This window comes from Homo sapiens, chromosome 1 (assembly GCF_000001405.40).
Source record: "Homo sapiens chromosome 1, GRCh38.p14 Primary Assembly".
NCBI lineage: Eukaryota > Metazoa > Chordata > Mammalia > Primates > Hominidae > Homo > Homo sapiens.
Genome location: NC_000001.11, coordinates 38,598,097 through 38,622,702, shown reverse-complemented (window position 1 = coordinate 38,622,702; position 24,606 = coordinate 38,598,097). Strand labels below are relative to the sequence as shown.

The 24,606-nt window shown below is 45.5% G+C and overlaps 3 annotated features.

The window, feature by feature from the left end:
* Window positions 13,865–14,654: an enhancer, noted in NCBI's record as "H3K4me1 hESC enhancer chr1:39073721-39074510 (GRCh37/hg19 assembly coordinates)". NCBI's record gives its function as "activates a minimal SCP1, AML or CMV promoter by ChIP-STARR-seq in primed H9 embryonic stem cells {active_cell/tissue: H9 hESC(primed)}" and the evidence as "EXISTENCE:reporter gene assay evidence [ECO:0000049][PMID:30033119]".
* Window positions 21,609–22,224: an enhancer, noted in NCBI's record as "OCT4-NANOG hESC enhancer chr1:39066151-39066766 (GRCh37/hg19 assembly coordinates)". NCBI's record gives its function as "activates a minimal SCP1, AML or CMV promoter by ChIP-STARR-seq in primed H9 embryonic stem cells {active_cell/tissue: H9 hESC(primed)}" and the evidence as "EXISTENCE:reporter gene assay evidence [ECO:0000049][PMID:30033119]".
* Window positions 22,225–22,840: an enhancer, noted in NCBI's record as "OCT4-NANOG hESC enhancer chr1:39065535-39066150 (GRCh37/hg19 assembly coordinates)". NCBI's record gives its function as "activates a minimal SCP1, AML or CMV promoter by ChIP-STARR-seq in primed H9 embryonic stem cells {active_cell/tissue: H9 hESC(primed)}" and the evidence as "EXISTENCE:reporter gene assay evidence [ECO:0000049][PMID:30033119]".

The window sequence follows — 24,606 nt, the reverse complement described above, 5'->3', positions numbered from 1 at the left end:
TCAATCTTATATGGACACAGTCATAGTGGATTAAGGGCCCATTCTGCTCCGGTACGATCTCATCTTAACGAATTACATCTACAACCATCTTCTTTGCAAATAGAGGCCATGTTTTGAAGTACCGGTATCCTAGGACTTCAGCCTATCTTTTCAATATAATTCAATCCAGAACAAGGACCTATCAGACTCTAGGTCATCCTAACTACCCTCCCCAGATCTATCAGTTATTTCTTCCACTGCCCTTGACTCAATGCCCCAGGGAGGCAAGGGTAAACTTTGGGGTTCAGCTGCAATGTAGAGGGCTTGCTGGACCCCTTCTTGCCAGATGACGTAACAGAGGGTCTTACCAGTGAAGTGAGTGAAACCGTGAGTTTCCTGACAGCAGCACCTGAGGCTCACACATAATAATATCCCCCGTGGTGCTTGGCATATAGCAGAATTTGAGAATCAGAAGGGACTGACTGATGTGAAGCGTAGCACAGTCGTCTGCTAAGATAGGGGATGAAAGGTGTCTATCAGACTTGGCAGGGCGGGGACCACCGGTGACTCCGGGAGAGTGGTTTCATGGAGTTGAGGAGGGGTCAGAAGTCATATTGTGGTGGATTCAAGAATCCATTGGGTTGAGGAAGTAAAGGCAGTAAGTGTAGACAATTCTTTGGAAGAGTTTTGCTGTGACTAAGAGGATATAGACAGTAGCTGTAAGTTAGGAAGGGGAGTTATAGAATCAAGTGAGGTATTTTTTAAAATGGGGAGACTTGAGTATGATCTGCCGATGGCAAGAGCTGAGCATGAGAGATCAGAGATGCAGGTGAGATAAGGGAGGAAGTTAGGAGAGGCTGGTGGACTTTTCTACCTCTGAACTTCTCTAATCCACATCATCTGGCCTAACCTAGACATGTAATCCCCTTCTCTCCTCCCAGATTCAACTACAGCCCCATATCCTTGGCAGGGACACCTAGAGGGGGGTGGTGATGGGGTCACTGCTTGTAATTTTGGTCCCAGGCAAGGGACTGCTGGCTTCTCTGTTCTGTAGGATGACACTCTTCCCTTTCTGAGTCTGATACTCATCATGGAGTTTTTGTGGTTTAGTTACCAAAACTCCTCTGTGATTTTGTCGATTTCTAGGCCCTCAATCAATGTTTGCTGAACACTGAATGAATGGATGGATCCCAAGGACAGGGTTATCGTGGAGCTCCCAAGCATTTATCTTGAATCTGGAAAATGCAAGAAAGATTGGCCCATCTGTTTCTGTATTATATCAGGATAGCAAAAAGCCACAGAACTTAACTGTAGCCAACTCAATCATGTGTGACAACCCAGCAGCAATGCAGAATGCATTGATGCATTGGTGTAAACCTGTGTGTGTGTGTGTGTGTGTGTGTGATCTGTAAGAGCTGGATGTGATTGCATATCTCATATCACATATGTGTAAAGGCGTATGTGTCTGAGTGTGTTAATGAATGTGTATGTGCATGTTTAATTGTCTATATGTGTGCAACTAAGTGAGCAGATATTTTCAGGCGTGAATGCATGTGTGTGTGTGTGTGTGCAGGTGTGTGTGAGTATACGTGAGCTCATGCATACCTGCACTGCAATATGGGCTCCAGTGAGCAGATGTACTGCACGTTGTCACCTGATTGTGTCCATACATTATGCACCCCCCACCAAAAACCTCCTTTTCAACCAAGCTCATGGTATCCAAATGAATCTAAGAACTATTCTACTGCACATATTCAGACTAACCTGAGCTGAGCCAGTATGAATTGGCTAAAAATCTGGAATTATCAAATATTTCAAAAGATAGGCAACCATTACTGTACAGAATAGCTAGTAACTAAAGCAGGCTTACCTCCACCCAGTGCAGGCATTGCTTCATCTAGCAGCACCTTCTAACAGAACCTTCTGTTAGATGTTAATTATTATGTTATTATTTATGTTAATGTTGTGTTATTAATTATGTTAATTATTATTAACATTAGAAACTCTGGGCAAGAACATTAGAGAAATGTTCTATATCTGCACTGTCTTTTGCAGGATACACTGCTGTCCACATATTGAGCACTTGAAATGTTGAAATGTGGCTTGTGTGAGAAAGGAACTGAATTTTTTTTTTTTTTTTGAGGCAAGGTCTCACTTTGTCACCCAGGCTGTAGTGTAGTGGCACGATCTCAGCTCACTGCAACCTTGACCTCCCAGGCTCAAGCGATTCTCCTGCCTCAGCCCCCCAGGTAGCTGGGATAACAGGCATGTGCCACCACGCCCGGCTAATTTTTTATAGTTTTGGTAGAGACAGGGTTTCGTCTTGTTGTCCCGACTGGTCTCCAACTCCTGAGCTCAAGTGATCTGACTGCCTTGGCCTCCCAAAGTGCTGAGATTATAGGCGTGAGCCATTATGCCCGGCCCAGGAACTGAATTTTAAATTTTATTTCCTTTTTTTTTTTTTTTGAGATGGAGTTTCACTCTTGTTGCCCAGGCTGGAGTGCAATGGTGCGATTTCAGCTCACCGCAACCTCCGCCTCCCAGGTTCAAGTGATTCTCCTGCCTCAGCCTCCTGAGTAGCTGGGATTACAGGCACGTACCACCACGCCCGGCTAATTTTGTACTTTTAGTAGAGACGGGGTTTCTCCACATTGGTCAGGCTGGTCTTGAACTCTCGACCTCAGGTGATCCACCCGCCTCGGCCTCCCAAAGTGCTGGGATTACAGATGTGAGCCACTGCACCTGGCCAATTTTACTTGCTTTTAACTAATTAAAATCTGAATTTAAATAGCCACATTGGCTAGTAGTTACGGTATTGGTCAGTGCCAATCTAAAATGAGTGTTCCATGCTTTTATTTTACCACTGCATCCTCTAGAGCCCAGCGTAGTGTCTGACACCAGGAGGCAGCTGAGTAAAGACAAGCTGACTGAAGGCATGGAGCCAGGGCAGGTCTGCAGGGATTTGCACTAATGAATAGAATCATGAAGATTGATATAATAAATGGAAACATAAATACTGTTTGTAGACAACTGAGTGCTTCTGAAATGTTGGATAACTATCTTCCCTAAAGAGTTATACAATATCTTTATGGTGGAATTTATCCTAAGAGTTTATTCAAACTTTGCCATTTTCTCCTTCTGTTTCTCTCTCAAGCCTAGTATGAGCAAATCTCAAGCTCTCATTTGCATGAACTATTCATTTCTTCCCAGTGGAGGTTCAATTGGTGATTATGATGAAGCTGTTGCAACCCCAACCCTCCTTGTATGTCCTGTGTGCTCAAAGCCTGGGTTGTTCAGAAGACCCTCCATCTCTAAATGGAAACTACAGAAACTCTGACTTCGAAGGGGACTTTGCAGTCACTTGATCTGCTCCTATCTGCCCACCGTTCTCAAGCTCAAACAGCCAGGGAGTCACAACTGGATGTTAGAGTCATCCCAATTCCTACTTATTTGGTGGCATTATCACTCTGCCAACTGAGATGATGCATGGGGTCTATCAGAACTCCTTTCCTTTCATTATTATCTACAGTTTCTCTGCAGATCCAGCCCTCCTTTGTGCAGTTAGTTGGTGCTGCTTAACCTTAGTGCATGACCCCGTGTGAATCACCTCTTGTGAATGCTCTGTACCTGCCTCACAGCGTTATGGGGACAATCAAATGAATTAATTCCTCTAAAGTACTTTGAGGAGTCCCTAACATATAGTACTTTCTAAATACATGCTAATTATTATTAACATTATTATTTTTAATCATTATTTTATCTTGTTAGAATCTGATGATTGGCCAGTTCAGATGAATTTCTTTTAAAGATACTATCAATGACTACTTTCCTTTTTTGCACTTTAAATAAGACATTGTGAAGTCAATCAATATTCATGTCACTTTATAAATATCTTAAACCACCGTACCTATGAGTAAACCAGTAGTTCTTATATTTTTAAAAATTATAGACTCCTTTATTTAATGGAAACTGAAAATGTAAATCAGATATAAATGGAGTTTCTGGATGAAGGGAAAGTGGGGCTTAAAGACCATCCCTGCCCAAACCAAGAAAATTATTTTTTTTTTTTTGAGATGGAGTTTCACTCTTGTTGCCCAGGCTGGAGTGCAATGACATGATCTTGGCTCACCGCAACCTCTGCCTCCCGGGTTCAAGTGATTCTCCTGCCTCAGCCCCCCCGAGTAGCTGGGATTACAGGCATGTACCATCACGCCCGGCTAATTTTGTATTTTTAGTAGAGACGGGGTTTCTCCAGTTGGTCAGGCTGGTCTCGAACTCCTGACCTCAGGTGATCCACCCTCCTTGGCCTCCCAAAGTGCTGGGATTACAGGCGTGAGCCACCGTGCCTGGCCTCAGAAAATTATTCTTGAGGAGATGTCATTCATAGCCCCAATTCCTCTTCACGTTGGGATCAGGTGACATGTACCATTTCATTACTTAGGTACTTTTAAATGTGCTATTCGAGGTTATTGGCTGACTTCATTTTTATGTTTTTTTCCCTTCCCAATCCCTCCACTGTTTCTGGCTAACTTGCACCACAAACCTCCTTAATCTCTTCAAATAAATTGACTCCTAACTTCTGATGCCCAAGATTCTAGCAGGGGAGTTCATGAACACTCACTAGAGGTGCTGCTGCTTCTAGTGTTCCACTGGTTTGTGTCTCTCCTGCCCCTCTTCGCTCCCCTATTAATCCTGAGTTTTTGAACACCTGGAACAATGTCGAGGTCTTTCTTTTTTTTCCACAGCCCACTACAAGGTCAGGGACATAGTATGCACTCAATAAATGTTTGCAGAATGAGTGATTTTCCTAGGAAAAGCAAGAGATTTGGAGTCAGAAGACCTGGGTTTAAGTCTTGGTTCCACAGTGTGACTCTGGGCAAGTCTACTTAACCTCTCAGAGCCTCAGTGTTCTTATCTGGAATGAGAACATTGTAATGTATGAACATTAACATTGAACATTCTATGTTCATTGTATGAACATTGTATGAACATTGAATATGAAGTAGGAAAGCGTGTCTCACAACACTGATGTGGGAAGTAAGGTGGGATATGAAGTTCTTAGTAAACTGTAAAGGCATATACATGAAAGAATTGCTGTTGTTATATCTAGAGTGGGTATCTTAGTCTGTTTTTTGCTGCTGTAACAGGATGCCACAGACTGAGTAATTTATAAGATTTTATTTGGCTGACTGTCCTGGAGGTTGGGAAGTCAAAGATCATGGTGCTGGCATCTGGCAAGGCTCATCTCATGGCAGAAGGTGAGAAGGTGAAAGCAAGTGAGCTCAAGAGAAGAATCAGGCTGAACTCATCCTTTCCACCAGAAACCAAATCTGAAGATAACCAGACAATGGCATTAATCCCTTCCTGAGAGTGGAGGAGCCCTTGTGGCCTAATCAGCTCTTAAAGGCTCCATCTTTTAATGCTATAACAATGGCAATTAAGTTTCCAACACATAAACTTTTGAGGGACACATTCAAACCATAGCAAGGGGCAACTTTGGCCCAGAGAGACTTCTGGGCTCCCTTCTGGGGCTGAAAAACAGGGATAGATTCATTTGCAGAAAATGTTTGCTAATTATTGTCTGGTTTGAATAATTATCCAGGGATCCTGGAAACAGCCCTTCCCACGGATCATACTGTCACATCTGCCGCTGACCTTTAAGTAATCTGAGTGGGGGTAATTACAAAGGGCTGGTTTTCTCTAAATATAGCTGTTCCCCAGCTAAAGGTCAACTCAAGGGAGCACGGTTTGATAATTGCAAGCAGTTTGATAGTGAATTGGGGCAAACATTCCCAGGGGTGCAGTCAGTGGTTTCCTCTTACAAAGAACAGGGTGTGATGGGGAGGATCTGACTTTCTGACCCCAAATAGAGAATGTCAAAGTTCCCACTTTATCTAAATTCCAGTAGTAAAGTGTCATCATTTGTGGTAAGGTAACTGTAGTGAAAACTTTTGCAGAGAGTAGAGTTAGATCCTCTGCCTCTGGGCTTTCAGATTCCTGTGAATTCTGGTGCTCTGGTCTCCTGTTTGTTTCCTACTTGTATACTTTGTTTCTCCAGTGAGAGTTTTTGCTCTTCCATGGCTGAGACCTCTATATTAAATACCAGAATGTGTAAAGCAAGAAAAGATTTGGATATGGATCCTGATACTGCGAGGATTCTTTATGGAGGACTTTGGATGAATTACTTTCTTCATTGAGCTCCAGTTTCCTCATCTATAAAATGGGGCTTGTGAATTACTACCCCGCCTGCCAGGATGGGTCATAGGGAGATCTAATAAGGAAATATATGGAAAAGGACTTTGTAAGCCTCAAATTCCTCTGTAGATGCTGGAGGTGGTCAAGACACACTCATCCTGTCCTATCTCCTTAGCCTGATCTCAAGCTCATCTGCAGTGGGCCTTATACTTCTCTTGCAACCGACCTCTCTCCTCACCTCACCTCTCTCCCCACCTGGTGTTCAAATTAAAAAAACAATTGAGGCAAGTGAATTGGAATAAAAGAGGAAGAATAAGATAATGAAACAGAAGCAGGGTGACCACCCTACAAAATGTGATACTTGATGGCTATGGTCTGAGAGTCAAAGGCCTAATCTTAATTTTATATTTCCTTTTTCTTCACTAGACCCATGCTCTACTCTTACCTCTCTTCTACCACAATCCCCAGGGGCCCTCTTTAGTATGTATCTTAGGTCCAGAAAAATTTTCCCTTTGCCTGGAGTTTCCAAACCCTATCACTTACAATATTTAGAAAAGTCCTCCATCCTCCTTTAGGTGAAGCAGTGACAATGTTTGGTAGAGCTGAGCAGCAATATCCCATTTGCCAGCAGGTGCCACCATTGAGCAGACAATGCGTTCATTAATTCAACACCTAAATATTGACACTGCTCTGTGCTAGGCCTTCTCCTAGGTATAGGTAAAACAGTGAACAAAACAGACAACATCCCTACCCTCATGAGGATGGACAATGACTAAATAAACACTCAGATATACAATGTAATGTCAGAAAATTATCAGTGCTATGAAGAGGATAGGGACTGAATGGAGAGAGAGGATTATTTTAGACAGGGTGGTCAAGGAAGGCCTGTCTGTGAAGGTGATATAAAAAATGTCTTAAGGCCAGAGATGAGGTGTCTACACATCCATGTGTGTAAGGCATATTGCCTTAAAAGTTTGTACTAATACTAAATTGAATATTTTGCTCTGAATCCTCATTTCATAGAGTTTGGTGGTGGGGTGGCGGGGGGTGGGGAATAAACCTTAACCTTCCTTAGAGAACCCACCCACCCAGGCACCCAGGGAAGAGTTGCAATTCGAGGCTCCTAGGCAGAGAGAGGGAGAGTGGGGGAATAACCTCTTGCCTTGGCCATGGGTTCCCATAGCACTCTCTTCTGTGGCTTCCTATATGGCCTGGTGGCTTTCTACTGCCTCAGGGCCATGTTGGACTGTTCACAGTTCCATCTGCCTGGGTGACCCTCCCAGAGGTGCTGATGAGAACAAGTCTGCTCTACGCCTTTCTGTCTCTCTCTCCTCCCTCCCCTAGCTGGCGAAATTTCTATCTGCTCCTCTGAGAAGGGGTCAGAGAGTGAAGCTCAGCTCTCCCCCTGCTTCTGGCCAAGACACTAGTCAAAGCCTGAGAAATCCCCTTCCCCCAAGGGCTCAGGCTTTTGGAACACAAAAGCCAGAGAGATTTCCAGGCTATTTCTGGTTTTTGCCCTGCTGCGTCTTTCCCCTGAGGCAATGAGCAGAATGCTGACTTCCTCTTTGGGGATGGTGGGGTGAGAAGGGAAAATATAGGGGAGAAAAAATACAGGTTGGATAGACTTGTATCTCAAAATATCATCCCAGCCACACCTGTTAAATACATTCCAGCCTTCGTTGCTTCCCTAAGTTCAATACATTTTGTGTTGGGGGTACTTAGAGTCAGGGTCCTGTTATCTGTGTTTGTTTCGATGCTCATGTTCAAATTCATGCCTGCTTCCTCTAGGGTAAGTGTGATTTCTTCTAGTTAAGTACGGGAAAAAATTAAGTAGTATTAATAGTTTTTTTTTTCTCTCCCTAAGTGAACAGTGAAATTGGCAGGCAAAAGGCAACAGAAAGCATTTCCTTAGCTTGTTCTTGTCTAAAAATATGGACAAGCAGGAGTGTGAGGGAGTGTGCAGGAGGCTTGTCCCCACAGTTCTCCACAGCCAGGAGCATGGGGGCCACTGTGGGAAATGAGCCCAAATGTCTCTGCTAAGAGCCTCTTTTAAAACAAGCTCCCCTCCGGTTCTGAGGTTTACAGCAAACTTCTCAGAGCACATGGGCAATTTTCCCCAAGCCCTTGAAATGAAAGACAAAGAAAGCAGAGTGACAGGGCATCTGTGGAGAAAGGGCTTGCTGGGCAGGCCAGGCCAATTAGCTGCTTTCCACCCCTGAGCTCTCTGTGGTGGTCTTCCAGTGTTTGGTGGGGAGGGGAGGGGAGCCATGGGGCCTGGCGTGCCTGACACCCAATTAGTGCTCATTCACCAACTGACCAGCCCAGCTGGCTGGCCTGCTCCCTTCCAGCTGCTCAGCAGCCGGCTCCAACAGCTCTAAGAACAGGGGGTGCTAATTGGATGCTGAAACCCAGCCGCTTCTCCATCCGCCCAGCCCAGCCTTGTGAAGGCCGCGGCTTTCTTGGCCAAGCTCCTGCCCCTGGTTCCGCTGTCAACTCATCCTCCCTGGGAAAATGCCGCTCCTCTCAAGTAGAAATGTAACAGCCAGCGCTGCAGCTTCCACCAGAATTCTTGAAGAGCCCAAGTCAAGGCAGAAGCAAGGTCAGTAGGGGAATGGGTAATGAAAGGGAGGAGAGAATGAGAGGTCCTGGGGGCCATCAGGTTCCCTGGGGTATTGGAGGAAGCATGAATGTAGGAGACAAGGAGCCCTGCCGCTGACTGTCGGTGGTGTCTTTCATTCTTGGGCCTCAGTTTCCCTATCTGCACACAAGGGGACCTGACTAGATGCCCTGCACACACTCTTCCAGCCCTGATGTGGAACGTCTCTGAGCCAAGACTCGGGAGTCTGCAGATCCCTGCAGTGGGGTGGGCATGCCCCTTGGGACCCCGAGTCACAGGAGTCCTTTTTGAGCTCAATGCGGTTCTGGCTCTGGCTGATGAGGGCGCTGAGCCTGCCTCTTAGAAGACTTGGTTCTCCAAGACAAGTCAAGATGCTGGGGGAACAGCCCTGCTGTCCTGGTCCTGTAAATCTAGATATCCAAGTGGTTTTCTTTTTTCCATGTTTCCTGCTGTGTCAGTGATTCCAGGGATGTCTCAGGGTCATAGTAGGTTCACACAGGTGCTCTCTGGAAGGGACTGCAGCCCCACGCCCCTTTGTCAAGGCAGCCCCCAATGTGTTTGCACAGTAACAGCCACAGGGTCCAGCTTCACTGCCTCATCTCAGGTTATCGGGTTATCCTGCTGATACGGTGTCAGATGTTAGTAACCATGTCCCATTAAGAACCCACATTACATTGTCTTGTTGCTCCGATTCTTTACTGCCTTCCTATATTGGGATTACACATCCATGCTCTTTATCATGTGACTTTGCAGTTCCTGCAACCACACTGGGTGGTGTAGACTTCTCTGCTGGTATATACTGATAACGAACTGGGTCAGATGACTTGCTTCGGCCAGTGGAACGTGGGTAGTAGTGATGCTGCCAGTCTGTGCTGAGACTCTAGGATGCATCACTGTGTCTCCTTAGCCTTCTTGTGCCCCTGTGATCTGCTGTGGACAGGACATGCTCCTGGAATCCACAGCGCCTGCAGCCTGGGCCCCAGAATGAATGTGTGTGTGGAGGAGACCTGAGCCTAGCCCAATACCTGGGGCCACTCTGGTCCACATGAACTCATCTGGACCAGCCAAACCTAGGTCAACCTGTTGACCTATAACTTTGAAAATAAATGTGTGTTGCGGTAAGCCACAAAGATTTTGAGGTTATTTGTTAAGAGACGAAAAACTGACTAATATGGCCGGGAGTGGTGGCTCACGCCTGTAATCCCAGCACTTTGGGATACCAAGGTGGGCAGATCTACTTGAGACCAGGAGTTTGAGACCAGCCTGGCCAACATAGTGAAATCCTGTCTCTACTAAAAATACAAAAATTAGCCAGCTACTCAGGAGGCTGAGGCACAAGAATTGCTTGAGCCTGGGAGACAGAGGTTGCAGTGAGCCGAGATCGCGCCACGGCACTCCAGCCTGGGTGACAGAGGAAGACTCTGTCTCAAAACAAACAAACAAACAAACAACAAAAAAACCCCAAACCTGACTAAATACATCAATAAAGACAAGAAACTTCCAGGAGAAGGATGCTGAGGAGCACCTTGTTGGTGTCCAGGAGCTGGGCACAATAGAGAAACCATTATACTCTTCTGGCCAGGGGCAGCTCAGGGGACAGGATGGCCCATCTCATGGGAGGCCAGTCCTTGGCCACAGAGTGGCCACCTCCTAGCACTGTCCAGGCCCACCCAAGCTCTGGAAGGACCACATGACCCCTGAATGGGAGTGGGGAGAAGCTTCTGAATTGTATTTTCAGAAGTTCCCCCAGGTGAGGCCTGAAGGGAGTGGACACTGCTGTTACTTAGGTAGCACGCTAGGCACAAAACCTGGTAAGACAGGAAAAGAGCAGAAACAAAAATCCCCAGACTACTGAGGGCAGCTGAGATGATCCTGGAATCTTGAAGATCCGTGTTGATTTGGAAGCCTGGACAGCAACTCTGCATACTGCTGAGATTCAGGGATGACTCTGACACAGGGAAAGTAATTCCTAATCAGTTTAAGCAAACGGCAGATGACTCTTCCCTGGGAGTCTGCAGCACTGAGAGAATTGCTGTAATTGCAGGCAGTTGGCAGAGAAATCAGGCGCCTGCCTCTAGTCCCTTAGGCTGCGTTCCCGGGGGACCCCCAGTTTAGAGACCCTCCCACTGAGACTTGGCTCCCTGAGCTGATCCTCCCGTGTGGATGTTGACCACAGCTTGTTTGCATATGGCTTGAATTTTGGTTAGGGGCTTTCTGATTGCAGCCTGATTTGTCATTTAAAATATTATGCACAGAAATTAGGATGCACATGGAATTTTGATTCCAGCCGTTCTTTGTGCTTGGAGAGACAAGGCTTCTCCCAGGGAAGTCTGTAGAATATGCTGTGCAAGGGAACCTCTGCAACTTTCCAGGAGTTTCAGTTACTCAGGGAGTCATGGCAACCAGGTCTCAATGTCAGCAGTCTAGGTTCTGGTCCTGGTTCTGCCACCGATGTCAGTGGAACTTAGGGCAAGTCTGATCATCGAGTTGAGTGTCACTTTCATTCTCTATGAGATGGAGATAATAAAAAGCAGCATCGGAGAGATGTTGTGGGGACCAAATGAAATACTGAAGGCAAATGTTTATCACCGTGTCTGGCAAATAATACACAGTAGCTTCTATTAATAATTACAAAGGGCTTAGCAAATAGTAGGTATTGCATCAGTGGTTCCTATTGTTGTCATTATTATTAAAACACATATCTGACCATGTGCACTTCATGTTTTGAGATCCTTTGTTAATCCTCATGCCTTTAGAACTGTTTTTCAAATTGTACTGCTTGGTGCCCTGGGAGTTCTGAGGCTGAAGACCTCTCTGTTTGATGTTCAGGTAACTAAGGCTGAGAGTGATAAACCATCCAAGGTCACACAGATATGAAATTACAGACCCTGGAGTCCAACCCAGTTCCTGCCACATTTCTACCCAATGTACCTCATGATCCAGGCGCACTGGACTTCTCTCTCTTCCTAAAATTCTATATTTATACTGCTTTGTACAAATTCTTGCTGCCTGGAAACCTCTTTCCATTTATTTGTCTGTCTAAAGTACATCTTTGTCTGAAAAACCTTCCCGGGCCTCTCAAGCAGTCTTTGTTTCAGTGCTAAGGTGTCTCTGTTGGAGCTCTGGGCATCTATCCATAAAGACCAACTAATATTCTAATGTATTTTGTAGATTCTGAGGTATACACTTCTTCCCATTTTAGCATCTCTATAATCAGGATCCATCTTATCATCTTACAATTGCTGCTATTCAGACAGGGGTAGTGACACGGCCCCCAGAGGCTGCGCCTTCCCTTCACTGATGTGGTGATGCAGTTATGCTGGGAGACCTGGTCAGATGCCAGCAGGCAGGCCCCTGAAGGCCCATCAACAAAATATTTGATGACCATTTGGAAAAGGAAATAAGTTTTGTTTATTGTCTGAAACTTTTTGTTGACACATTCTGGGAAGATCAAGAAAAAGCTAGTGGCCAGTCATGGTGGCTCACGCCTGTAATCCCAGCACTTTGGGAGGAGGTTGAGGCGGGCAGATCATCTGAGATCAGGAGTTGGAGACCAGCCTGGCCAACATGGCGAAACCCCATCTCTACTTAAAAAAGAAACAAATGAGCCGGGCATGGTGGCGTGTGCCTGTAGTCCAAGCTACTTAGAGGTGGGAGGATCACTTGAGCCCAGGAGGTCAAGGCTGCAGTGAGCTGAGATCCAGCCACTGAACTCCAGCCTTGGTAAAAAGGTGAGACCCTGTCTCAAAAAAAAAAAAAAAAAAAAAAAAAGGTAGGAATAAGAGAATAATTGGAAGTTCCTAGCATAAAGAAAAGATAAATATTTAGGTGATAGATATCCCAGTTACCCCTGATTTGATTTTTACGCATTATATGAATATATCAAGTTATCACATGTACCCTGAAAATATGTACATCCATTATGTATCAGTAAAAATAAAAAAGGAACAGCCAGCACCACAAATGTAAAATGGGTATCAACAGCTCAGAAGAAAATCCCAGAGACAGGAGTGGAGCCCTCTTTGAAGAAACGCAGCATCATCTCCACTCTTGATGTCACTAATGATGATTCTATGCAGAAGGGCTGGGCTCCCAGCTAAACTCCACCCTTAAACATAGAACCCCGGCCCTAAGTGAAAATAGTTGACCGCGGTTTTCCACCCACACGTTGCCCATTTGTCCTGCCCCACCCCTATCCTGTGCCCATAAAAGCTCTGAGAGCAATACAAGCAGCTGAGCGTTGAGGATACAAGCGGCTGAGCGGTGAGCATAAAAGCAACTGAGCATCGGAGACTATGGATAGATGCTGATGACTTCAGATGGTGTGGCTTCAGGGAAAGATCACTTTCCTATCCCCTTTCCAGCTTCCCTTTCCGCTGAGAGCCACCCACTGCTCAATAAAGTCGTCCACATCCATCACCTTTCAAACAGTTTGTGTGACCTGATTCTTCCTGGACGCCAGACAAGAACCCGGGTGCCAAGAGGGCAGGGGCTGTCACCCTGACCCTCCACTGAGTTGGTTGGTACTTGGCCATCCCTGGACGGCAGAGCTGAAAGAACATTGGTTGTAACACGCTTGGACGCTGCTGCAGGGCCTGCACAGAGGCTGTTCCCGCCAGAGAGGAGCCACTGGCTGGTTGCTGTGGTTTCCACACTCTGGTTCCCTCCTGTGAGGAGTGGCCAGCGGCGGGCTGAGTGAAATGAGCCACTCCAGTTCTGGCCCACGAAGTGGGTCAAGGGAACTATCCTGTCTCAACTCCACGTGGAGAAACATGGACATTGGTGACTTTGAATTGAAAAGTGATGCGTAAGATTGGACCCTGAATGGGAAGGTTAGGAATATGGTAGCTAACTTACCGCACTTGTAACATTCCATGATATACAATGATTAAATAAGTATGAAAGAACACTTTCAATAAGTATAAAGTAAAAAAAAAAAAAATCTAACCAATGAGAAAGCATCGAGTTGCAGCATTTTTTCCTTTTTTAGTAGTCTATAAAACAGTGCCTTCCTTTACAATCAATCAATAACACCTGAGATTGGATGAAACGCAGGTAGCTGAATTCAGCTGAAGCAGCAGCCAGTAGGCCTAAATGAACTGACTTAAGTTTAAAGGAACCTGGGAGGTCAGGGAGAGAATGAACCTTCCCTGGCGATGGGCCCTGCAGTTATAAGTCTCCATAGATGGTCATTCTTCAGGAAAGTGAAGTTCTTTGTGTGAGCATGGCACGGAGGGGAAGCTACCAGCATTTTAAGAGGGGCAATTCTTTGTTATGTGGGAGTCTTCTGCGCATTACAGGATGTTACGCTTCTACCAAGTTCTGCAGTGCCTCCAAGACATTTGACAATGGACAGAGTCCCTGGAGGCCCCACATTCCAGACGCTCCCCTGGGGGCAGTACCACTCGGGTTGAGACCACCGGGCTACAAGATGCAGATGGTTTGATGCAGCCCTGCCCCCTGTTGGTGAATAGCACCAACGCCTCCCGGTCCATAGCCTCGGGTCCTCATCTTTCACGAAGGCGCAGCATGGCCAGGATGATTCCAGTCCCAGCGTGAGCACAGCCCTGGTGTGGAGGGGCTGGGGGCATCGTCTTGGGCATTTCTGCCTCCCCTGTCAGCCCCAGCCAACCTTCCTCTGCCCCAGGTCCGCTTTCCAGGAGTATTTTCTCTGCATTCCTCAAGGCAGCCTGGGAGAGAGAGGCACGGTCGCCTCCTTTTCATTTACATGGGGATTACTGGAGACCAGAAAAGTGCTTTAAAATGATATAATGTCTCTGCACCTCATCAAACCCTTCCCCTTCTACCAATTTCTGCCTGATTTACAGTTAATATTGCACACTCCCATCACCCTGCCGGAGAAGCGGTGATTATTTCTCCATTGCCATAAAGAATGTAAAGGAGATGGGAAAAATCAGGTGAATTCAGAGAAAGTTTAGTGTAAAAAAAAAAAGTACTGGGGGGAGGGGGTGTCAGGGAAGGCAGTATAATAACAGAAGCGAAAGTATTCCTGGAAACAATCTCAGAGTCAAGTGATTCCTCCAGGCCTCAAGACAGAGTCTGCAGGCATGGGCTGCTGCCCTGCTAGACCAGTGCACGGGGCCACGGTGGGGTGGACCTGATGGGGGGCCTTCCCTGGGTGCTCGTCTGCCCGGGGCTCTAGAGAAAAACAGACCCCACCCTAGAGCCAGCCCACCCCGAGAGAGGGCGAGAGCACTGGCCCATCCTCCCCACTGCCCACTTCCCAGGAATGTCTGGTGAGCATTTTGGCCTCAGGGCCTTTGGGATACAGAGGTGGCCCCTAAATTTGTAGTTCCTGGGTAGGGATTTGTTTGTTCGGCTTGATTTCTAATCTAATTTGGGTTCTGGGCTCAAATCCTGGCCCTGACAAGGACTGGCTGTGAGACCTTGGGTGGTCATTTCACATCTCTGTGCCTCTGTCTTCTCTTCTATAAAATGGGATAAACTGGCATGTGGTAAGTGCTAATAAAAAATGTAGCGCTGATTCTCTTTACCCATCGTTAGTCAGTCACTGATCATTAGCAGCAGCAGCATCGCTATTCCACAGCAGGTAAGTCTGTGAATTACCATTTTCTTTCCAGTTTGCCAATGATGGACTTTTGCTGATTTTACAATTAAGGAGCTGAGTATCACTTTTATTCTTCAGGGGAAAGAGATGCTCTGAGTCTCCCACATAATCCATCAGCCAAAGGAAATTAGGGAATCTGCTAGACTTAATTACTGCTACTGTAGTAACCTGGTATTTCAGCAATCTATTCCTACATGACAAACTATCCCAAAATGTAATGACTTAAAATACAACAATTCTGTTATTGCTCATGATTCTGCATTTGGGCAGGGCTTAGTGGGGAGAGTTGACCTCTGCTCTCTGTGTGTGCAGCTGAGGGCTGTGGCGCAGTTTGATTTAGGGTGTATATCTGGGGCCTTGGTTCTCACTGTTGGCTGAGTTTCTTGTTCCCCACATGATCTCTCAAGGTGATTAGCTTAGGCATCTTCACATAAGCAAGATGGCCTCAGTACAGTCTAACATCTTAGACAGTGGATGGCTTTCCCCAAAGCGTGTGTACTCAGGTGCGTGCGCGCGCGCGCACACACACACACACACACACACACACACACACACACTCCCAGAAACTGCCAGGACTTAAGGCCTAGGCTCAGAATTGGCACAGTGTCACATCCACCACATCCTATTGGTAAAAGGAGATTACAGGGCCAGCCCAGAATCAAGGTCATGGGTGTACACGAGGCATGAAAATCAGGTAGTTCATTGCAGGCCACTAAAGTAACCACAGCTAGGTCTTCGGTATAATTAGTTTTTTCCTTCTTCCACAACAGTTTAGATTTGCCTTTTCCCTTTCATGCTTATCCTTTATTGCACATGGATCTTTATTGGAAGTGACTTCAAATCAAACCATTTTATTTCTTCTGCTTTTTAAAAAAATTAGTCAAGAGAGTAAAAAGGAAGTCTGGGAGGTACGTGGGCATCCCTCTCTGTGTCTCTGGATTTCTGGGTCTCGGGCCCCTCTTCCCACTTTTGTGGCTGATATGTCCATTGATGAGCATCTCTCCCTGTCTCTAGGACCATCTTTATCTGTTCCCATCTCTGAGCCTCTCATCCTTGTCTCTCCGAGACTGTTGCTTTGATTCTCTCTTTGACTCTATATCTTTCTGTCTGTCTCTTTCTGTTCTGTGCACATTTTTCTTTGTCTTTATTTCTGCTAGTCTCTCTGTTTCTGTATCTGTCTCTGTCTCTCTCTCCCTATGACTCTTCTGTTTTTTCTCTCAATCTCCCACCATCACTGTTTTAGCCAGAGATATAGTCCTTTTATTGGTGTAAAATGTGGCCTTCTTACTAGTATTGTCAGAGAACTTCATGCTTTGTCTCTGGCCAATACTCCAGGGCCTTCCTGAGTAAGAGAGGCTCAGCCTCCAAGAGACCTTGTCTTGTGCCAAGAGAGTACCTAGGGATTCCTTTCCTTCCTCTCTTCTCAGCATCTGGGCCCTGGGGTCTGAGAACTGCCTGGGCCCCATAGCCTTGCCAAGACTGGGAAGTGCATGCCTCAGGCTCCAGCGGCCTCCCTTGGGAAGCAGGGGGGCTGGAGAGGAGGTGGTGAGTGGGGCAGGGCAAGGATAGAATGAGGGAAGTAGAGACAGAACTCCATGTCCCAGCATTTGAGGAGCTGTAAAAGGAAGAGGAATGTTTTGGTTACAGGGGAAATGATGTGCCCACTTCTGCAGTGCAGGTGCTGAGGACAGCCCTTGGGACAGAATAATGAGATGGAACAAACGTAGCTGTGCCTGTCCACTGCAGTACAGTGGGCTCCAGGAGGGTGGCAGCCTTGCTGGGCACACAGTGGGCCGTGAAATGCTGAATGACCCCACTTCCTAATAGCTAATGGGAACCGGTGACTTCAAGAGGTAGTGAGTAGCCCATCTCTGGAGTTATGCAAGCTGAAGCCGAACAAACACAGGACGTGTGGAATTATAAACCAAAGGCCCATTGAAACAGAGCCCCACATCCCTGGCCAAGTCCTCCCTTTCTTCTCCCCAGACTCCCCACTCTGCAGCTCCTCCCCACTTTCCCTATTTGCATCCTTGTCCCCTGTAAGCTGGCTGGCAGAGGCAGGTGCAGGCTGGGCAGGGCCAGTGCTGAGGGAGGACTGCAAGCAGCTAATACTTCCTGAGCCTGCTGGCAGTCACATCCTTGGAGAAGCTCATCTGAAAATGACCTTCCCCTCTCCTTCAGCACCCGATCACATGCAGGTTGCAATGGGTTGCACACAGCATCTCTCTAAGGTGCTGCAGGCAGCTTCCAAACACCCCAAAGCAAGGGGGAAAATAATTCAGGATTTAGATAACAAACATATCAATTTCTTGTCCACTTTCAAAACCTGTTTTCTGCAGAGTTTCTGGTGATGATGGTGCAGAACTCTGACCCCGCAGAGAGGCTCTTTTAATTTCGGGGCTCCCCTTGTCTTTCTTGTGGAGCACTGGCTGGAGTTGGGCCAAGCAGAACAGCTCCCAAGAGTATGTGCACTCCTGGGCACACCAGCACAGCCGTAGACAACAGGGCGTAAATAAATAGGTGCACCTGCCCTCAAAATCACATCCATCTGCACAGGAGAATGCTCAAGGTCACATACACCCACATACTCACACACATGCACCGAAAAAGCATACCTGCCCTCATAATACGCACTTGTGGGGAGGCACAGTTACACTAACAAACTCACTCATATGCTTGGATGCAGCCATATGCATGGGTACATAAATATGCATGCCAGTGCCTGTGTGCATGCCTGCACTTACGAGAAGATACACCTAAAACCACACCTGGCCGGGCGCGGTGACTCACACCTGTAATCCCAGCACTTTGGGAGGCCGAGGCGGGTGAATCATGAGGTCAGGAGTTCAAGACCAGCCTGGCCAACATGGTGAAACCCTGTCTCTACTAAAAATACAAAAAACTAACTGGGCATGGTGGCACATGCCTGTAATCCCAGCTACTCGGGAGGCTGAGGCAGGAGAATCACTTGAACCCAAGAGGTGGAGGTTGCAGTGAGCCCAGATCACGCCACTGCACTCCAGCCCGGGCGACAGTACGAGACTCCGTCTCAAAAAAATAAATAAATAAAATAAAAAACCAAAACAAAAAACCAAAACAAAAAACAAAACCACACCTGATGCTCAGGTGTGCATAGAAACACAAAAAATAAAAAGCAGGTGATAAGCACTCGGTAAAACCCTCATGTGAAGACAGACCTACACACACACCCAAGTGTGTACATACACACTGGTGCACCCACACATGCACACCCACGGACAGCTGTACACACAAATATACAAGTAGCATGCTATGTTCATACGCTTTTGTCCCGCTCCCTTCCCCTCCTTTCCCTTCCTTCCACAGATGAGTGTAAGGTGCAGCATAGCATAGTGATAAAGACTGGTTCACATCTTGGCTGTGCCACTTTCTAGCCCTGTGTGACCTTGAGCAAGGTATCAAATGTCTCTGTCTATGTTTTTTCATCTGTAACATGTGGATAGTAGTAGTATCCACCCCACAGGATTTTTGTGAGGATAAAATCTATTCATATGTGTAAAGCTCTCAGAGCAATGCCTCGTCCATGGTAGACTCTCCTGGGGTTGCCTCTGACTGCGGCAGAAGAACTAAGAAAGGCCAAAGCACTGAGTTTGTGGCAAGAAGTGCCCGGTTCAATTCCAGGCCTTGTTCTTTAGACCTCCGTGACTCTGGGCTCAAACTTCATTTCCCTATGCCTTGGTTTTCTCATTTGTGAGTGGGGACAAGCAGTCTTGCCCTGGCTGCCTCCTGGGATAGCTGAGGGCTGTGGCAAGTACAGCTCTTCAGGATCTGTAAGATGTGGTGATGCTGGAGGGAATTTCACCTCTTGGGCCACAGGACCTGGGAGAATCCACTTGGGGCCTAGCATTGGCTGAAGGGCAGCTGGCACAGGAAAGCTGCTGAAGGTCCTGTGTATCTCCTACTTCTCCCTGACTGCAAGCCCTAGTGCCTGGCGCTGTGGTCAGCAGAGTCACCCATGTGGGTTTATCCCATTGCATGTGCTGAAGTTTTCTGGGAAGTTACAAGTGCTGCTTGGAAGGAAAAATACTGCAGCTTCCATTGCACATGGAAGGCAACACAGCTGCTGGTTTTCCTGGGCCACAGGGGCTCCCCCTTTTCTCTGGAGGGTCCTCCTTTTTTTCTCCAGAAGTGCAGTTCAGGGGAAGGGCCATGGAAAATGAGGAGAGACCTTGTGCAGTCAGCCAGATGAGCCAGCTCTGTTGGGTGGTCACTGGGGCAGTCAGAGAGATCCTGTCTGATCATGCCACTCCCGTGTGGAAACATTCCAGGGTCTTCCAATATCAGAGGAAAATCCCAACCCCTGCTCCAGGCCCCCAGGGCCTCTGTGAGGTGTTCCTTTCTGCCTCTCCCACTGGTCTGCCCCCTCCCCTCCTTCATTCTACTGCAGCCATGCCAGACTCCTTTCTGTTTCTGCTCCTGTTTCAGGCTTTGTCCCTGCAGTTCCCTTTGCCTAGAATGCACTTGCTCCAGTTGTGCATGGTTGACTTCTTGCCATTCAAGACTCAATCCATTACACCTCCCGCAGAAGTCAACCCTGATGTGCCTCCTCCTGCTCTGTCCAACTACCTCGCTTGATTTCCCTGGCAGTTATTGCACTTATCATCCACTCCAATGACCTTTTAATTTTTTATTAAATTTTTTTATACACTATATTTGTACATATCTATGGGGTATACATAACATTTTGTTGCATGCATAGAATGTGTAATGATCAAGTCAGGATATTTAGGGCATCCATCACTTGAGTATTTATCATCAGATGACCTTTTAAAAATACATTCAAGGCCGAGGCAGGCGGATCACCTGAGGTCAGGAGTTCAAGACCAGCCCGGCCAACATGGTGAAACTCCGTCTCTACTAAAAATACAAAAATTAGCTGGCCATGGTGGCAGGTGCCTGTCATCCCAGCTACTCTGGAGGTTGAGGCAGGAGAATTGCTTGAACCCAGGAGAAGGATGTTGCAGTGAGCCAAGACTGCACCATTGCACTCCAGCCTGGGTGACAAGAGTAAAACTCCGTCTCAAAAAAAAAAAAAAAAAATTCATTTATTGCCTGTTCCCTGATGCCGACCCCACTGGAATATGTTCTCATGAGGGCAGGGTCTCCCCAGTGCCTAGTTCATAGTAGATGCTTAACTAATATATGCTGTCCCAATAACTAAATGGCTTACATTTCTTACCTGCTGCCATGTAATTCCACTGTTCTTGGGGGTAGGACTGTGACATTGTACCATGAGTGATTTGTGGTGAATGATAAAGCACCAGTGCTGTGAGTGATTTATTAAAAAAAAAAAAAAAAAAAAAAGATAAATCAGAGCAGATTCAAGGACCTCTCTGTCATGATAACACTCTCACTTTCTCAAATTCCAACACGGTTTCTGAGTGAATGAGACAGAGAAAGAGTTACGGCCAGGGGAATGGGAACTGTGTCCCCAGTCCCATCCCTGCCTCAGCTGTACTGTTAATAAGGTTACAAATTCATGTTATACTTTTGGTTTCATCAAAATCTGTGTGTGTCTATGAGGCTTTAATATATAGGCAAATTTCTTATGTATTTGAGTGTCCCTGGGGGTTGAGGGCAGGGGTCTAGAGAACCAACCTGCAGACCATGGGGGAGCAGTGTGTGCTTGCTGTTGTAGGCCACGGAGATTCTGGGGTTGTTTCTTATGCGGCATTATTGTAGCAATAGTTGACTAGAACACTAGGACGTGAATGAAGTGTTATGTTAGAAAGAAAGGTCTTGGCCAAATGTCTGTGATGCAAAGTGAGAGGGCCATTTTGGGTGGGGGGACTCTGATTGCATCACTGGTATTGAACTCTTTTAATTTGTTTCTACTTTTGTTTTGAATTTTAAACCAATTCATGCAGGTGCTCAGAATGATTGCTGAGATTATGATGGACAAAATGAATGAGTAGCAGGTCTGAATCTTGGTCCATAAATTCAGCCAAACAAGAAGAATTATATTTCTTATTTTTTTAAAATCGGATTAACTTCTAATCAGAGCCCTCTCCCGGGAGTGTGGTTAAGCCAAGCTCTGTCAAAGATGTCTATCTTTTCTTTCATTAAACTTTCTGCCTCCAAAGAAATAGTCTGGCCCAGTAGAAGGAACATAAAACTTGGGTCAAGATGATCTGAGTTCAGATCCTGTTTCTGCACTTATCCATCACGTGACCTTGAGTAATTCATCCCCTTGAATCTCAGTGTCTTCATCTGTAGAATGGGACCAATGATTCCTTCCCCTTAGTGGTGGGGTTCAGTAGGATGATTCAGGGATCCCAGGGCAGTGCCTGTCATAGGGAAGGGGCCAGGAAATAGCTCCCCTTTTGGCCTCCTGAAGTGTCAACCAGGTCACATCACCTTGCAAAAGTCGGGAGAACCCCCATGAACTCATCATTAACTACAATCATCACCAGCTCATGGTCATTCTTATTGGTCCTCTCCCTACCCTCATGCCCGCCCCCATTATCTTGAGGCAAATCCCAGAATCAATATATTTATTTTCTTCTGTGTATGTTTGAAATTTTTACATAGTAAAAAATAACAAAGTGAGGATGATAATGCTTACTTCATGGCATGGTTGGAGGACAGAAGGAGAGAATTTATGCAACAGACCTATGCCTTATAGTCAGCAGGGTTCTAAACCCATTCTGGGATGAGAAAGGACTTTCTAAACAAAGCAACATTAACAACAAAGAGAGTTAAAAATATGTGTATTTGAGAAACAACATAAACACAATTAAAGGCAAGCAAACAAAGAAACAAAGATTCTTTGTTAATGTCCCTATTATTCACTGAGCGCTCTGACAATTCACTAAGATAAATACTAACACTTCAATTACAAAACAGGAGAGTAACATAATTCACAGAAGATGAAATACAAATAAGCATGTGAAAAGACATTCCACTTTGCTAATAATCAAAGAAATAGAAGACAAGATTTAAGAAATGGTAATGCCCACTGCTTGAAAGGGTCAAACCTTACAGTGCTCTCATATCCTGTTGTTAGTCATTTAAATGGGTGTCTCTCTTCTGGAAAACAGAAGTGGAACTATGTATTAAAACTTAAAATACAAGTTGGGACTTCTTATTAAAAACCTTAACAGAAAAACCACCCATATCCTTTGCAGCTAGGATTCCATCTCTGGAAATACTTAGAAATTCAGGCAAAAATTTATACCCAATGACATTCATTATTTATAATTGAAATTTTTTTTAAAAGGAAGCAACCAAAATCTTCCACAGTAAGAGAGTGCTTAAATAAACTATGGTACATCTAGATACCTTAGCCATTCCTTAGCCATTATTAATTATAACATTCCTTAGCCATTAATAATTACATTTTCCAAGAATTTTTAATGACATGGGAAAATACTTACTCTATATTGCTAAATGAGAAAAACGGGTTACAGAACAGTATGTCTTCATGCTGTATAATCCTGATTATGTAAATAAATAAATATACATGTAGAAGGGTGATCAGTGAGGCAGAACAAAAGTATTGTAGAGACACTGCATTTTTTTTTAAGTTGCTAGCAGATTTAAGTTCCTACCAGTCTCTGGTGTTAAAGACAGAAGTCACCTTGGAAAAAATGGTTCTTTGTTTTGGATGTCCTTCAGTTATACAAACGTAGGACAAATATCCACTCCGTGTTCTTGGAGTATTACTGAGTATTGGTGAAATCCCCAAATGCAAATGATAGAAGCTGAGAAGTAAAATATTCTATATTATTGTTATTTTCAGAAGAAAAGACTGTTTTGTGTTAGAGTGGGGATATCTCTGAAAGAGATCTTTTTGGTATTAAATGATTTTTCTTTTTTTTTTTTTTAAGGGAAGATCAGTGGGGAAAAGGGAAGGAAAGCAGGATAGGAAGGGCTTAATTCATTCATTCTGTGGAATGACTGAGGGTCTACCACATGCCAGGGATTGTTCTAGACCTCAAAGTAGCACTGCCCGGTGAAACAGAGTTCCAGCTCTCATGGGGCTTACTCTAGAAAGGGAGACAGACAGTAAATGAATACAAGTATAATATGCCAGGATGTGATAAGTGCTATAGAGAAGAAAGCAGGGTAAAGGACCAGGGAAGTATGCAGTGGGTGTTATTTTATGCGGGGGCTGGGGTCAGGGAAGACCACACTGCTGGGTAACTTTTGAACAGAGATCTGCAAGAGGTGAGAGAGTGAGTCACGTGGACATTGTGGGGAGAGCATTGCAGGTGGTGGGGACAGCACAGACAAAGCCCTAGAGAGGGAGATGTGCCTGGACAATTTGATGAACAGCAAGGAGACTGGTGTGGCCAGAATAGAAGGCCAAAGGGGAGAGTGGAGGGAGAGGTGGAGGCAGGAGGGATGTTGGAACGTACAGGCCGTGGTGTAAGGACTTCAGATTTTTGTAAAGACAACCTTACCGAGGTATAATTTATGTTATAAATTTAACCATTTTGAGTGTTCATTAGATGGGTTTTGACAGATGTCTCCACCTATGTAACTACCACCACTATTAAGACATAGAACATTTCCACCACCCTCATTGCCCTTTGCAAGTGGTCCCTGCCCACCCCAGCCTGGGGCAACCAGGAGTCTGCTTCTTGCCATTGGAAATACATGGTACTCACTCTGCATCTGGCTTCTATTGCTCAGCGTGTTGATTTTGAGATGCATCCATGCTGCAAGTATGATTAGTTTGCTCCTTTTTATTGCTAAGCAATTTTCCCTTATGTGTATGCACCCAGGGTATTTATCCACTTGCCTGTTGATGGAGTTTTCTAGTTTGGGGTTCTTATGAGTAAAGCAGCTATGAGCATTCTTGCACACTTTTTGTGGACATACATACACTAATTTTTCTTTGGTAAATACCTAGGAGTGGAATTCTGAGTAATAGGGTAAGTATGTGTTTAAATTTATTAGAAACTGCCAGTTTTCCAAAGTGATTGCGCCATATGTTCATCAGCAATATATGAGACTTCCAGATGCTCTAGTTCTTACCAATACTTGATATGGTGAGTCTTTTTAATTGTACCATTCTATAGAATGTGTAGTGGTATTTTGTGTTTTACTTTGTTAGCAGTGTGATCTCAGGCAATTTATGTAAGCTCCCTGAACTCTGGTTTCTTTGTAAAATGGGAATAATGATAGTTCCTACCTCATAGCAGTGCTATGAGGATTAAATGTGGTGGTGCACGTAAAGCAT